Genomic DNA, 16,323 nt, shown 5'->3' on the forward strand with positions numbered 1-16,323 from the left:
CGACGAGGGGAGAAACTTGGGTTTAGACGTTTGATTGGTGTCCTCAAGAAACCCAGGAAAGTTCCCTGGTTACAGCTTTAGCGTTTAAGCAAGCCATCCATTTACAAATTGGAAGCATTTTTAAGTTTGATTGCAGAGAGGCAAGCTGTACCTCTCTCCCTTTGGTGGCCGCATGCCCCAGCATTTTCTGCCAGCACAGATTTAAAATATTATCTATGTATTCTTCTCTCACAAGAAGGCTGGTGGCTCTCAGTCCAGGTCTTTCCACTTTTCTCTCACACTTCTCTCTTATCTCCTTCCTCTGCTGCCTTCCCCAAACATCTAGGTAACAGAAAAACATCCGGTGGTCCTAGGAAAAGAAAAAAAAACCGTGGGCTTCCCAAGGCACCACCTCTCAGTCTCCTGGTACCGACTGGCACAACTCCCAGCAATCTCACCCTCTCTAGGAAGACCTTCACAGTCCATGAGGTGGCTTCATAGAATTTTGAAATCCCCTCCCCTAAAATCATCTGGTTCCAGGTTTATTCAAAGAACCAGATTCTACAAAGCACCACGAAGGATAACTTTTTCTCTTTCCATCACTGCCTTTGGTTTTACTGTTTAACAGCTTTCTTCTGCGTTTAAGAGCAACCTTTCAGGTCTAGACATGTCAGAAATCAAAACAACATTATTTTTAGGTAAAAGATTAAAAAAAGGTTCAGTCCTATTACAATCAAAACTGTTATCTCCCATCTCATTTTAAGGTGCTCTCCCTCTCTCCAGCAAGGCCTGGGCCACAGAGCTTTACCCCAGTTCCAGCAATGAGAATGGATCCGATAAAATCTCTTTTCCTCACCTTCCTTTCCCTGCTTGCTCAACTGCTGCCAGTTTCTGGAGGCAGGAAGGGAGGGAAGAGGAAAAAGTTTAGGTAATTACTTAACTAGTTCCGGTGCAATGTGGCTACTCAATGCCCTCTGGTTGACATATGCCCAAATACTAATGAAGCGGGAAAAATTCCCTTATTCCCTTTGCAGATTATGCCACAGGGGTGTGGCTCGATTCTTTGGTGCCCCGCTGCTCAAACCCCTAGCCGGAACATGCAGATAAGCAGGTCTTGGGGAGCTTTTTTGGGCTCCAACCCCACAGCAGCATCTAGGGCTGAGTGTTTACAGTTCCCAAAGAAGCCCCAGTGGGCGTGTGCTACAGTTTACTCTTTGAGCTTTGCCGTCTGCAGGCAGCTGGTGTCAAGCGGCTCAATTAGATCCCTTGACTTATTGCAAGGACAGAGGGCTGTCTGTATCCTGAGTTCTTGTCCCAGGGTACTGGGAAAATCGAATCACGTGGGCTTGGAGGATGGGTGCAAGGTTTTATTGAGTGGTGGAGGTTGTTCTCAGTGAGGTGGATGAGGAACCAGAAGGGGATGGAGTGGGAAGGTAGTCTTCCTTGGAGTCGGGCTGCCCAGCGGACAGACTCTCCTCCGACTGCCCCCAACCGAATGCCACGTCGTCCTGCCCTAGATGGCGTGCCGGTGTCTGCTGGTGTCTGTCAGTGTGCTCTTGTGCCCCTCTGCTCCTCTCAACGTCCAGCCACTTGTGTCTGTGTCCGCTTAAGGTCTTGGGCTTACACGGGTACAGGATGGGGGGCGTGGTGGGCCAAAAGGCAACTTTTGGGGCGCAAAAACAGAAATGCTTGTTCTCATTTGCGTCCGTGGGCACAAGCCCGAGGGTGGAGCCCTTGTCAGGGACCCTGCCCTTCTCTACTCAGCACTTCCCTGCCCCCACTCCCCTGTCACTGATGGGCAGAATAATGCTCCCCAAAATGTCCATCTTCTAATCTGTGGCACGTGTGAATGTTACCTTACGTGGCCAAAGGGACTTAGCAGGTGTGATTAAGTTCAGAACCTTGCAATGGAGAGAGGATCCTGGATTATCCATATGGGCCCTATTTATTTATTTTATTGAGACAGAGTGTCACTCTGTCACCCAGGCTAGAGTGCACTGCCTTGATCTTGGCTTATTGCAACCTATGCCTCTGGAGCTCAGGTGATCCTCCCACCTCAAGTAGTTGGGACCATGGGGACCAGCCACCACGTGTGGCTAATTTTTTTTTTTTTTTTTATAGACAGGGTTTCACCACATTGCCCAGGCGGGTCTCGAACTCCTGGCCTCAAGTGATCCACCCACCTTGACCTCCCAAAGTGCTGAGATTACAGGCATGGGTCACCACACCTGGCCAGATAGGCCCAGTTTAATCCAAAGGGTCCTTAGGCAGGAGGGTGAGAGTCAGAGAAGTGAGTGACAATGGAATCAGAGATCAAAGTGATGCCATTGCTGGCTGGGAACTGTCAGCCAAGGAATGAGGGCCGTCTGGAAAAGCTGGAAAGGGCAAGGAAAGGGATTATCTGGAGCACTTCCAGAAGGAACACAGCCCTGCCAGCACTTTGACGGTAGCACAGTGGAATCTTTGCTGGACCTCTGACCTCCCTCCAGAACTGTAAGGCAATATACCCGTGTTGTTTCATGCTGCTAAATGTGTGGTACCTTATGACAGCAACCCCAGGAAACGAATACACTGACTTCCTTATGGGACACATTGTAGGTTTTCCAGACCTCCGTAGCAGGATTCTTGACAATGCATCTTTTTCTAAAGCAGTGTTTCTCAACCAAGGACAATGTTTGCCCCCACGGCATCATTGGTTAATGTCTTGAGATATCTAAGATCATCATGACTGAGAATATGCCACCAGTATCCAGTGAGTAGAGCCCAGAGATGCTGCTAAACATGTTACAATGCACAGAAAGCCTCCACAACAACAACAAAAAACTATCTGGTCTAAAATGTTAATACTGTCAAGGTTGGAATACCCTGATCGCAAGCAAGCAACTCTTTGACTTCCAATTAAAGTGCTTTCCTGGCCGAGCACGATGGCTCATGCCTGTAATCCCAACATTTTGGGAGGCTGAGGTGGGTGGATCACCTGAGGTCAGGAGTTCCAGACCAGCCTGGCCAACATGGTGAAGCCCCATCTCTACTAAAATTACAAAAATTAGCTGGGCGTGGTGGCATGTGCCTATAGTCCTAGCTACTCAGGAGGCTGAGGCAGGAGGATCGCTTGAACCCAGGAGGCAGAGGTTGCAGTGAGCTGAGGTAGTGCCACTGCACTCTAGTCTGGGCGACAGAGCGAGATTCCATCTCAAAAAAAAAAAAAAAAGATAAAGATATGTACGGAATTATTGGGACTTAGACAGCTGCTTATTAACTAATTCTGCCAGGAAGCACTGTAGGCCAACATTGTCATCAAAGAATGATGACTTTTATTTCCTGAGAGTGACTTTTACAAAAATTTGTAGAACTGGAGTAGGGAAGGATACAATCTAATGTTTATGTATCAAAGAAAGGCTATTTACAAACAAAAGAAGAGAAAACTGGGAGCAGAGCAAAGTTTATGTGCTTTCTCCAGTCATTATTTCAACAAATACTCCACTCAGATGTTACCTTCTTACTGAAACCTTCTCTTAAAATAATCCCATCACTACCCTATGCCCACTTTCTCTCTATTCCCTCTCCCTACTTTCTCATTAACTTTTTGAGGAACTGTTTTCCAAAGTGACTGAACCATTTTGTGTTCCCACCAGTGGTGTATGAGGGTTCCAGTTTCTCCATAGCCTTGTCAACACTTGTCATCATCTTCCTTATTTTTGCCATCCTAGTGGGTAAGAAATGGTATCTCCTTGTGTTTTTGATTTGTGTTTCCCTAATGACTAATGATGCTGAGCATTTTTTTCATGTGCTTATTGGCCATTTGAATATCTTCTTTGAAAAGATATCTATTCAAATCCTTTGCCCATTTTTTTTTTTTGAGACAGGGTCTCACTGTCACCCGGGTTGGAGTGCAGTAGTGCAATCACGGCTCACTGCAGCCTTGACTTCCCAGACTCAAGTGTGACTCTCCCACCTCAGCCTCTTGAGTAGCTGGGACTACAGGCATGTGCCACTGCACCCGGCTATTTTTCTTTTTTTTTCATTTCTAGTAGAGATGGGGTTTTGTTATGTTGGCTGGTCTCGCACTCTTGGGCTCAAGCAATCTTCCCGCCTCAGCCTCCCACAATACTAGGAATTACAGGCGTCAGCCACCATGCCTGGCCCTTTGCCCATTCTGCGGGGGAGGGGAACATTATGGTAGAAGTTTATTCAGAGGCAGAAGAAGGGAACAGTCACTTTTTTAAATTATAAATTCAGAGGGGTCCATATGCAGGTTTGGTACATAGGTATATTGCATAATGTTAGGGTTTAGGCTTCTAGTGAACTCATCACCCAAATAGTGAACACACAATAGATAGTTTTTCAACCCTTGCCTCCCTTCCCCCTCCCTGCTTTTGGAGTCTCAGTGTCCATTGCTTCCATTATTTTTCAAATAGAAGAGCATAACAAAGTTATTTTATCACAGCTCATGTGACACAGCCGTCTTCAGAATGAAGACTCAGAGATCCAGGGGAAACTGCCCATGTTTATAAACATTAACATGGTTCAGCAAAGTATGGAAACATGATTGGACAAAAAGAGTAAGATCAAATGCTCATAGACTGAAAGGAAGAACCCAGCCAGGCCTGTCAGTTCAGATTCTTCTTGGCATCTCTTAGCAGCATTCCCTTTGCCCATTTTTTTAATTGAGTTTTCTTTTACTGTTTGCTTGTAAGAGTTCTTTATATATTCTGAATACTAGGCCCTTATCAGATATATGATTTTGCAAATATTTTCTCCCAGAATGTGGGTTGTCTTTCAGTTTCTTGATAGGGCCCTTTGAAGCACAAAACTTTTGAATTTTTATGAAGCCCAATTTATTATATTTACTTTTCTTTCATTGCTTGTACTTTAGGTCTCATATCTGAGAAACCATGGCCTAATCCAAGGTCACAAAGATTTACACTTATGTTCTCTTATATTTACATCTTTGATCCATTTTGAGTTACTTTTTGTATATGGTGTAAGATGGAGGTCTAACTTCATTCTTTTGCATGTGGATATTCAGTTGTTTCACTACCATTTTTTAAGAGTTTTCCTTCCTCCAGATAGTTTTGGCACCCTTGTGAAAATCAATACCTTATTGTCTTTATGACACTTATCACCATCTGAAATTATATTATTTATTTGTTTATTGTCTACCCTTCCCAAACTCCCTTACTCCCTGTATTAGTCTGTTTTCATGTTGCTGATAAAGACATACCCAAGACTGGGAAGAAAAAGAGGTTTAATGGACTTAAAGTTCCACATGGCTGGGGAGGCCTCACAATCATGGAGGAAGGCAAGGCGGAGCAAGTCACGTCTTACATGGATGGTGGCAGGCAAAGAGAGAGCGCTCATGCAGGGGAACTCCTCTTTATAAAATGATCAGATCTTGTGAGACTTATTCACTAACAGGAGAACAGCACAGGGAAGACCTCCCCCCATGATTCGATTATCTCCCACCAGGTCCCTTCCACAACTCATGGGAATTCAAGATGAGATTTGGGTGAGGACACAGCCAAACCATATATCTCCCCTTCCTCCTACCCCCTGCAAACACACATACAAATTCAAATGTACATCTTCTTAAGACAGGAACCTGTCTTATCTACTATTTATCCCCAGGGACATCGTGGGCACTTAATAAATATTTGTTGAATGAATAAAAAGGGCTCCAGTTTTGTTGAAAATTAATGGCCACTGTATGTGTCTATACCCAAGCGCAGGTAATTACTTCATTTAGGGCAAAAAGATTGTTGAACATTGCCTAAATGAGATTTTATAGCCATTTCCTGGGTTGGATGAGAAGAACCTAATTAGGCAAGAAATTACCTCATTGGCAGAAAAAAAAATCCAGCAGAGAATTTTAATGAAAATCCAAATGCAAGTGTGAAGGGACTTTCTGAGACCCTCTGCTTGATAGTCCAATAATACCTCAGTAGGTGTATGGCTTTGGTCAATTCCCCTCACTTCTGAAGGACTTCGTTTACTCACCCCTATATGGGGAGCTCCTGTGCTAAGCCATCTTGCAGGTCACTGGCAGCAGTAGCATTATATCATTCTAATGTTTTGGATTGTTTTTGTTTTTGTTTTTGAGACAGGGTTTCCCTCTGTTGCCCAGGCTGGAGTGCAGTGGCGTGATCACAGCTCACTGTAGCCTCAACCTCCCACCTCAAGCAATCCTCCCACCTCAGTCTCACAAGTAGCTGGGACTATAGATATTCACCATCATATCTGGCTAATGTTTTTTTTTAACAGATGAGGTCTCACTATGATGCCCAGCTGGTCTCAAACTCCTGGCCTCAAGGAATCCTCCTGTCTTGGCCTCCTCTCCTGCCTTGAAATTACTCTGGGGTTCCAAGAGTAAGCCACTTCGCCCAGCATGTTTTGGATTCTTTAGAAATAGCATCTGTAATCAATTAAAGTTAGTCTACTTAAGGACTATAGTTTTCATTTGCAATTTATCTTGCAAAAATATACTGACCAATCTGTTAATTAAAAGTATATGTGGTTGGGGAGAGTGGCACATGCCTATAATCTCAGCTCCTCAGGAAACTGAGGCCAGAGGATCACTTGAGGCCAAGAGTTCGATGCTGTAGTGATGCACCGTGAATGCATCTGTGAATAGCCACTGCACTCCAGCTTGGGCCACATAGCAAGACCCTTTCACTAAAATATATTTTTTTTTAAAGAGGCTTGATTAAGAGACAATATAAATTTTCTCTTGAAAACTGTCTGAAATAACTGATCATAAGTACAAAGAATCAGAGACCTCCTTAGAAGAGAGGAGGTAAAACTCTCAGTCAATTGTCTCAAATAGGTTTTGAAAGGTTTCCCCAGAAGTTTCCTATTTAGAAAGAGCATGCCTGCCCACTAGTGGGCGAATTAAGGAATTGCTCCCTTTTCCGAGAGGCATTCATAAGGCTCCATCTTGTGGTGAAAACTGTTAATAAGCTTTACTGCTAACACATAATCCATTCCTAAGTAAGACCTAGGCCTGGAAGAGCTCATTCAAAACTCCAGGGTCTGCAGAAGCCAGAGACGTCAAGGTGTACGGGCGAACATGGCAGCCGTATGACAAAACAAACCAACTGTCAGGAAAATAATCACTGTGTTTATTTTTCTAAACTAAGACTGCAACCATACCAGATAATGTGTATGTGTATGAATATATATGTGATATTGAAGATTGTATCTTAAATTCAGAATTGAAAAAAAGATAAAATATAAATATTTCATTTCTAGTATTTTATTTTACAATTTGCTCACTTTTTCTTCAGTACCAATATGTCCTTGTTAAACCTGTGTTAAGTTGTATAATGAAAACAGAATTCAGCCTTGACTGGGACCCATTAACTAGAAGTGATAATTAGTCCTAATTAGTTTAATACTGGGAGAGAGCTGTTCAAAAACGTAGATATTTTAAAATATGAGTCTTTGCACAACTGTGAAGATATTTGTAGAAGCCTGGCATTCCAGTGTCACTGTACAAAATGTCCAATCCTATATCACACCATGAGTCATTTTTCACACTATAAGTAGGAATTGACAAGGTGCATTGAACAATGGGAGGTTATCTTCACAAAGTCTGAAATCAATAAGCCATTTTGAGGAATCAGTTTTCAGTGTATCACAATTTTTATCACAGGTTTCAGGCCATCAGTTGTATTTCTAGAAACTAATTCCAACCACAGAAAAGAGGACTTAGTAACGATGCCAGATATGCCTTCCTAAAACATTTTTTTTTCTTTTTTTAACACCCTTGGCAGCAGACTCTATTCTACATTTTATAACTGCTTTGTGGATGCCTTTGCGGGGAAATATTCAAAGTGTTTGTCTACCCCAAAGGTCAATTATATGATAACAATCTTCGCTGCTTAACATAAGCAAAGCTTTTTTCCCTCCAATGATGTGAATAAGTTCATTTCTCTTAACTGTTCAACAATGCTGCTTTGCTTTCAGCCATGACTAAGCCACCCACCCTCTGTGTCATGAGCAGACTGCCATGCTACGTGTCCAATTCATCACACAGTGCATCCAACACTCTGTGCCTGAAGCCCTACAAGGAGATCCAGCTCACAGTATGAACGCTGTGTTCGGGACATCTTCAATTTTTAGCTTCTCGCAGAAAGCAATTCCTGCTAAATAATGCAAGCAAGTAGATGTAAAGCCTGTGTCTTTATATAACTTGCCACCTAGAGTTTAAGTTTTATTGCAAGTCTGATATAAACACTGCTCATCCCAGGAATATCATCCTATAGGCACACAAGTCTTCTGCATTAAATTGTTTGAAAGTTTCCTCTATACACACAAAAAAATTATTTTCTTAATCATTTCCTAAGGTTGTGTCTGTCATGAGCACACTGTCCAAAATATTTTTCAGTCATATAAAAATTCTTAACCCCCATGGTGGTTAATAGAGCTCATTACTACATCTAAATATTACTAAATATGTATCTTCACCAACTGCAATAGCAAATGCCACCATTTAAAAATTTTTTCACATGATTTTTCTTTTCATTTCTTAGTCACATTTCCATTGCATTGAGCAACAGTATTTCTAGTTACATTTACATTTGCACGTGCTTGTATCTTTTCAGGACACACAATTTCCGCTACATTCAGTAGATTCTCTTTTACAACTTGCTATCTGTGAAGAATTTGATGTCCCAGGCAGATTTTTTATTTATGACTTCTTATTTCTTAAACAACCAAGACAAACCTTGTTGACATTACAATTCTCTCTTCAGCTCCTTAGGTTTTGATCACATGTCTCTTCCATGGCCCTCTTCTTTCTTCTTCCAGTGGTTTGTTTCATAATGGCACCTACACTGTTTTCTTAAATTACATCTTTTGCCAAATATGCACACAGGAGGGTTCTATGAGGAACACAGGAGGAACATATGACCCCCTCAGTCTATCTTCCTTTTCCTACTTTTAATAAAGATATGACTACAAGAAATATGCTACTTTTCTAATACTATTGGGTAGATGTGACTTCACACCACCAAAAACCCAGTTCTGCAAAATGTTATAATTATTTTCCTAATTCAATCTCTGAATTTGGTCTCCTACCACCTGATAAACGATATGTCCTCTTAGTCTTCTTCAGGAAGTCATTCGGTCACTTCTACAAAGATATTGAGGGCCACTTTTCCTGTTGCCCCAAGTAACCCTGGAGCTCATACTAAAAACCATAAGGGTAAGTCCCCCCAAAGGGCAGTGATTCTCAACCCTGTCCTGCTTCATATAAGAATCACAGTGGGGAGTTTTGAAAATGCCAATGCTTAGCTGTTCTCCAGAACAATTATTCATAATCTTCGAGGGTGGGACATATGTATAGGTGCTTTGCAAAAGCCCTTCCAGTCATAAGGGTAATTCTAGAATGTGGACAGGGTTGAGAAAAACAGATCTAAAGAAAGCAGCCAACAATTGAGGCCAAATATCTACCTGCAAAGCTTAATAAGAGGCAGCAGTACCTGCAAATGGCCAGGATCCCAGCAGCAGCCCTCCACCTGAGTCTGCACATATAGAAAGATTAGGGAGGAAGAAGGGGGGCCTATGGGAGTTATGGGCAGCAGAGTGAAGAGTTGCTGCAGAGCCTCCTCAAGACTCACATGAGATCCTCACAAGACAGCCAACATATGGATATCTGGCACCCGGAAGTCATGGAGGGCCAGATGGTGTTGGCCAGGGGAGCAGCAGCAGCACAAAAGAGTGCATTTACAACAGCAGCCAGGGAAATAAAGAGACTCTTCTGCCTGTCCTCTCTCTCATACACTAGCCAAAAACTGAAGAGGGAGAGACGGGTGTCTCAGGGTCCACCTTGTCTCCTCCCAGTCCTAGCAGATGGGGTGTCAGCTGAAACTGTGCTTGGGGAAAGGCAGAAGATAATACTTAAACCAAATATGAAATTAAACTGGACTGAGTATTAATAACCAAAAGAAGACGAACATTTGGAACCTGCCCAAGACATTACAATTGGATGGGAAGCACAGAATGGGGCACTGAAACTGGAGGGGGAGAAACATGTTGTGTTTATCCCTTCTCCTTTCTCCTTCTTGTCTTCCATGAAGGACACCTATGCTCCTTGGGAGTCACTCAAAGATTTGGCATGAAGGTGGGATGTAGAGTCTATACTGTGGTCATTCCTGTCCTTACGTTGATGTCAATTCACGTGTCCACACTTTGATCTCATGCTTGTAAAGTCTCCTTGATATGGCCACTAGACCCCATGGAATCCGATAACTCCCTTAGCAGATTTCCAAACTCCTTCTGTGAACACAAGGAAGGTTGAACAGCTCTCCCAAGTGTGGACAGGCTGCAGGGGACTCAGGGGCCCTCTTGCAGCCTGTCTGCCTTTGACACCCCCATGCAGCCATGAGCAGTGGGCCAAGATGTGGGACCCCTTCAAAAGAGATCCTTACCTTCTCTAGCTCTTTCCTGCCTCCTCTTCTTTCATTCCTCTCCAACTGGGAAAGCATTTTCTAGTCTACATGGTAGTGATGGAGAGAGATGTGAAAGAAAAATGTTTCCCTGGAAACATTGGAAGAATAGGTGTATTCTTCCAATCTGTTCTATCCTATGCCTGGACCAAAGCTTTTAAACTTCGTAGCCAAGAATTTGAAACTTTTGTTCCTTGAAGACCCCCATGAGAACTTCTCTAAAGCAGGCCGGGTGCAGTAGCTCACGCCTGTAATCCCAGCACTACGGGAGGGCAAGACAGGTGGATCACATGAGGCCAGGAGTTCAAGGCCAGCCTGACCAACACGGTGAAACCCCGTCTCTACTAAAAATACAAAAATAAGCCAGGCATGGTGGCACACACCTGTAATCCCAGCTACTTGGGAGGCTGAGACATGAGAATCGCTTGAACCTGGGAGGGGGAAGTTTCAGTGAGCTGAGATCGTGCCACTGCACTGCAGCCTGGGTGACAGAGCAAGACCCTGTCTCCAAAAATAAAAATAAAAAAAGAACTTCTCTAAAGTAGAGATGATGCCTCCATTCTAGCTCTCCAAATGATAAAATATGGAATAAAAATGAATTGGCCCCACATAGCTATAAATGTGGCACTGTGAGTGCCTTGGAGTTGTCAGCCCAGACTGCCAGCTTGCATTGAGCCTCAGCAATAGTCCCACACCCCAATGGCTGATCCCCTCCCTGCTCCTCTTGCCTGAGCCTCTGGGGCTGCAGGCAGACCCTGCCCAAGATCTCCTTCTGTTCCCACCTCTTAAAATCAGAGAAAAACATGAATGAAGACCAATAGAAAACAGTACCAGAACAATGGAAGTCAACGATTGTGTGCCAGAAATTTGGGGAGATATCATTTATTACAAACTTGCATATGTTGGGACAAAATAAACCAAAAAGTGAGTTTGATGCTTTGGAATACGTGAAAGCTGCTGACAAATACTACTGTCCTCAATTAAGAGAACTAACCAAAGTTAATGAGTCTCTTACAGGAGATGCAGAACCTGCCAACAAATCTCGTTTCCAGTTCTGACTATTATGAATAAAGCTGCTGTGAGCATTTTTGTACAAATCTCCGTGTTGACATAAGTTTTAATTTCCCTAAATAATGCTTTCTTAATTTTGAAATATATTGCTTTGCCTGGTGCTTATTTCTATACAAATAATAAATCTCTACTTCCTTATTTAATTAATTTATTTATTTTTGAGACACGGTCTGGCTCTGTCACCCAGGCTGGAGTGCAGTAGCTCCATCTCAGCTCACTGAGACCTCCGCCTCCCAGGCTCAAGGATCCTCCCACCTCAGCCTCTCGAGTAGTTGAGACCACAGGTGCATGCCACCATGCCCAGATAATTTTTTGTATTTTTGGTAGAGAAGGGGTTTCACTATGTTGCCCAGCCTGACCTCAAACCCCTGAGCTCAAGCAATCCTCCTCCTCAGCCTCCCAAAGTGCTAGGATTGCGGGCATGAGCCACTGCGCCCAGCCAACTTCCTTATTTTAAATAAAATTAATTTGGGGTGGGGAAACCCATTTTTATCATTCATCAATTTATATTATTAAAAAATATAATGGACCAAGGCCCAAAATATAATGGACCAAGGTGTGAAGGATGGTAGCTCACACCTATAGTCCCAGTATTTTCGGAGGCTGAGATGGGAGGATTGCTTGAGCCCAAGAATTCAAGATCAGCCTAGCCAACATGGCGAAACTCTGTCTCTACAAAAAATACAAAACTTAGCCAGGTGTGTTGGCATGCATCTGTAGTCCCAGCTACTCAGGTGGCTGAAGTGTGGGGATCACCTGAGCTATGGAGGTCAAGGCTGCAGTGAGCCATGATTACACCACTGCACTCCAGCCTGGGTGATAGAGTGAGACCCAGTCTCAAAAAGAAAAATAATCAAATAAAAATAACAGGGTAAGCACACTGGAAAATGATAACTGGCACTCAGCTTCTGTGTCAAGAAGACACTAGGAATTAGTATTGTCAACAAACTGAAAAGTATATACCTTGTTTAAAATGGGCAGCCATTACTCAGCTTCAGCCAGTTCACTATGAAGACCCAATACTGCCAAATCTTCTAATTTTTCAAGAGAAGATAGATTTTTTGTGCATGCATATAAGTAATCTCCTAAGTTTAAATGTTTGCCAATAGAACCCCTCAAAAAGAAAAGTTACACACTGGTGGATTAATGCTGTACAGCATTAACCAATGCAAGGTAAAATGACTACAGGCCAAATCTGACCCAAGGCTCATTGGTTTCCAGCTAAGATTTTGGATCTCAATCCTGACTATGAGCAACAAGACCTTTCGGCTTTTTTAAAAGATAGCATGCCTGAGCCCTAGTCCAGTTCTGATTTCCTAGATTTGGACGAGTCCTGGGCATCTACATATTCTTGTAAAGTGCCAGAGTTCATTCTGGTTCACAGCCAGGGTTAAAAAGTAGGAAATTAAATTTCAAGTCATAGTACCTTATCACATTTCCAAACTTCAACACCATGTCCAGAACACTGAATTCTCCCCAGGCTCATTCTACCTGATTCTGAGCTCAAATAGTCATGTGGGATCTCAGTAAGCTGAAATTGATGACACATACACAAACAATAAAAACTGGGACTATGGAGACTTCCTTCTCTCCAACTCGAATAGCATCCAATTTTGGCTTTTCTATATACTATTCGAGGACATTATAATAGCAGGCCTTTTTGGAAGAAACTCAATTCTAAGTAAAAGATGTTCATATATGAGCTTATGGGAATTTCTTATTCACAAACATGGTAACTATCAAAATAAAACTCTCTCCCAAAATAAGAGAGACAAGAAAAGAAGTGGGGAAAACAGATTTTAAAAGCTGTATGAGCTTTTACAAATAATTTAGCAGGTAACAGAGATCTTGTGAGACAAGTAAAAAGGCCTTGTATTCATTGCTTATCAGGTAAATGTGGACTTAAAGTAAATAAGGTAAGAAGGTGTTGAGCTAGAAACATGTCTCAAATTATTTCCAGTGAGCTTCTGAAAGCCCAAGACAAATGTATCTTTATGAAAAATTGAGACAGACCCAGTAACCAGATCCTCTCATTATTTGCATGTGAAGCCTCTAACTTGTAGTCATGTGATAAACAAATGGAGAAAAATTGGAAATAACCATTAATGAGGGCGGCAGAAATTATAACATTGAGCAAGGGTCAGAAGATTGCAGAGCAGTTACCCATTCTTGGCGCAGAAACCTGAAAGTCAGGATCAAAGAGAATGGCAACGGTGAACACAGATGCCACAGATAAAGACATATCCAAGTTCAAGGTCACCTTCACTTTGGTGGTCTCCGGAATAGAGTGCATCACTGGCATCCTTGGGAGTGGCTTCATCACGGCCATCTATGGGGCTGAGTGGGCCAGGGGCAAAACACTCCCCACTGGTGACCGCATTATGTTGATGCTGAGCTTTTCCAGGCTCTTGCTACAGATTTGGATGATGCTGGAGAACATTTTCAGTCTGCTATTCCGAATTGTTTATAACCAAAACTCAGTGTATATCCTCTTCAAAGTCATCACTGTCTTTCTGAACCATTCCAATCTCTGGTTTGCTGCCTGGCTCAAAGTCTTCTATTGTCTTAGAATTGCAAACTTCAATCATCCTTTGTTCTTCCTGATGAAGAGGAAAATCATAGTGCTGATGCCTTGGCTTCTCAGGCTGTCAGTGTTGGTTTCCTTAAGCTTCAGCTTTCCTCTCTCGAGAGATGTCTTCAATGTGTATGTGAATAGCTCCATTCCTATCCCCTCCTCCAACTCCACGGAGAAGAAGTACTTCTCTGAGACCAATATGGTCAACCTGGTATTTTTCTATAACATGGGGATCTTCGTTCCTCTGATCATGTTCATCCTGGCAGCCACCCTGCTGATCCTCTCTCTCAAGAGACACACCCTACACATGGGAAGCAATGCCACAGGGTCCAGGGACCCCAGCATGAAGGCTCACATAGGGGCCATCAAAGCCACCAGCTACTTTCTCATCCTCTACATTTTCAATGCAATTGCTCTATTTCTTTCCACGTCCAACATCTTTGACACTTACAGTTCCTGGAATATTTTGTGCAAGATCATCATGGCTGCCTACCCTGCCGGCCACTCAGTACAACTGATCTTGGGCAACCCTGGGCTGAGAAGAGCCTGGAAGCGGTTTCAGCACCAAGTTCCTCTTTACCTAAAAGGGCAGACTCTGTGACTGGAACTCACGGAGTTCTGCGGGACCTGGTCCAACCACTTCTGCCTTTGCCTCAGGTAGAACTCTCTCCTCACCCGTCTCTTCTCTCCCAAACCTGCTCTGACACTTCTCAGATAACGTGATCCTTTTATAAATATGAAGCTGAATTTTTAACTTGAGATTCTAAACAGAAGTAACTAAGAAACCTGAAGATGGACTTTGAAAGCTCCTTGAACTATGTTCATTCATATCCTGCCCTGAGATCTCTCCACTTTCTTCTCCTCCTGAGCCTTAAGGAGAGGGTGGCCAGACATATCGGTTTGCCAGGGACAATCTCTGTTTATTGTCTGTTGTCAATTGAGCATCCTTTAATTCTCAAGAATATCATGGTCTGGATGAAGAATTACATGATCATCCTACTTAAGACACCCAACTAACACACAGTTAGGGCTGGTGAAGCAGAGCACAGCACTCAGTCCACGGGGTAGAAGGGAAACCAGAGTGGCTACAGAAAAAGAAGATTCAGGAAAGAAAGGCTGCTGGAAATTATCAAGTGCTGCAGAGTTCCGAGGAAAGTAAAGGGTGAAGAAAAAGGCTCTGGATTTGACTAAAAGGATGCCATGTGTGCCATTAGTGGAGTGATAGGGTGACATCCTGATCCCAGGAGTTCCAGAAGATAATGCCAAAAGGGAGGGGATGGGTAAAAACCAATAGTCTAGAGAGGATGTTTGCAGATAAAGATGAGTTATAGAACGGCAGATGGATATGTGAAGGGTCAGTTCAATGCTTTATTTCTCCAAATGGGAGGGGACAAAGTGAGCAGAGAGGAAAGAAAGAATGCAGGGAAAAGAGTGAAGTGGGCAGGAAGCAGAAAGAGAAAAGGAAGAGGCCAGAGTAAGTAAGCGTCTGTTTTGCTCAGCTCCTGACTCTGTGGCAATGCTAGCGGCACCTGTGCCTCTGGTTTTACCAGTTCTGGGTTACCTTGAAGTAAATAGTGGGGCAAGAGCGGGTTACTTGGGGCAGGCTGCTGGAGAAGAGGAAAAACATTATTCTCCATTGTCATTGTTCAGGATGGTTCCAGCAGCATTGTCTCAAAGAGCTGTTCACAAAACATTGGACACCCTCTCCCCAGATATCTTAGAGCTTGAACGTTAGGAATCTGAAGTTGTCTTTTATTAGGTAAGTTTTAAATCATGATTATTGAGGAAAATGAAAAAAGAATGCTGTGGATCATACCAAGCTTAGGTAGCCCCCAAATGAAAATATGAGGTCAGTAGCAAAGTCTAGTTCTGAGCTCCAGCGCTCTCAAGCACACATTTCAGAGAGAGTTCCTTACATCCATAAACTGCAAAAACCACACACACACACGGCATACACACAGACACATGGCATACACACACACACACACACACACACACACACAGATTCCTTTATAGCTCAGACAGCTTGGGACTTATTTACCTGAAAAGTAAAATATTAATAAAACACACATTTTTGATAGTTTTCTTAAGCTATAGTTATTTATATGACTATTTCAGGCGGTATTTGTTATAGTAAGACAAATTAGATATTGAAGTTTTATTCCAGTCCCTAGAATAGAGAAATATACATTTTCTTCCAAGTTATATATATTGATAAAAGGGTCATGTACCCACTAAGGGTTCTCTGAT

At 42.9% G+C, this 16,323-nt stretch overlaps 1 protein-coding gene across 1 annotated transcript; it reads left to right on the plus strand.

Annotated features, from left to right (window-relative positions):
• Positions 1-13,660: 13,660 nt before the first annotated feature.
• TAS2R40 (taste 2 receptor member 40) lies at positions 13,661-14,703 on the plus strand. The gene has a single exon (NM_176882.2). The coding sequence runs from the start codon at positions 13,703-13,705 to the stop codon at positions 14,672-14,674; it is 972 nt and encodes a 323-aa protein (NP_795363.1). The 5' UTR covers positions 13,661-13,702; the 3' UTR covers positions 14,675-14,703.
• The last annotated feature ends 1,620 nt before the right edge of the window (positions 14,704-16,323 follow it).

This window comes from Homo sapiens, chromosome 7 (genome assembly GCF_000001405.40).
Source record: "Homo sapiens chromosome 7, GRCh38.p14 Primary Assembly".
Lineage (NCBI taxonomy): Eukaryota > Metazoa > Chordata > Mammalia > Primates > Hominidae > Homo > Homo sapiens.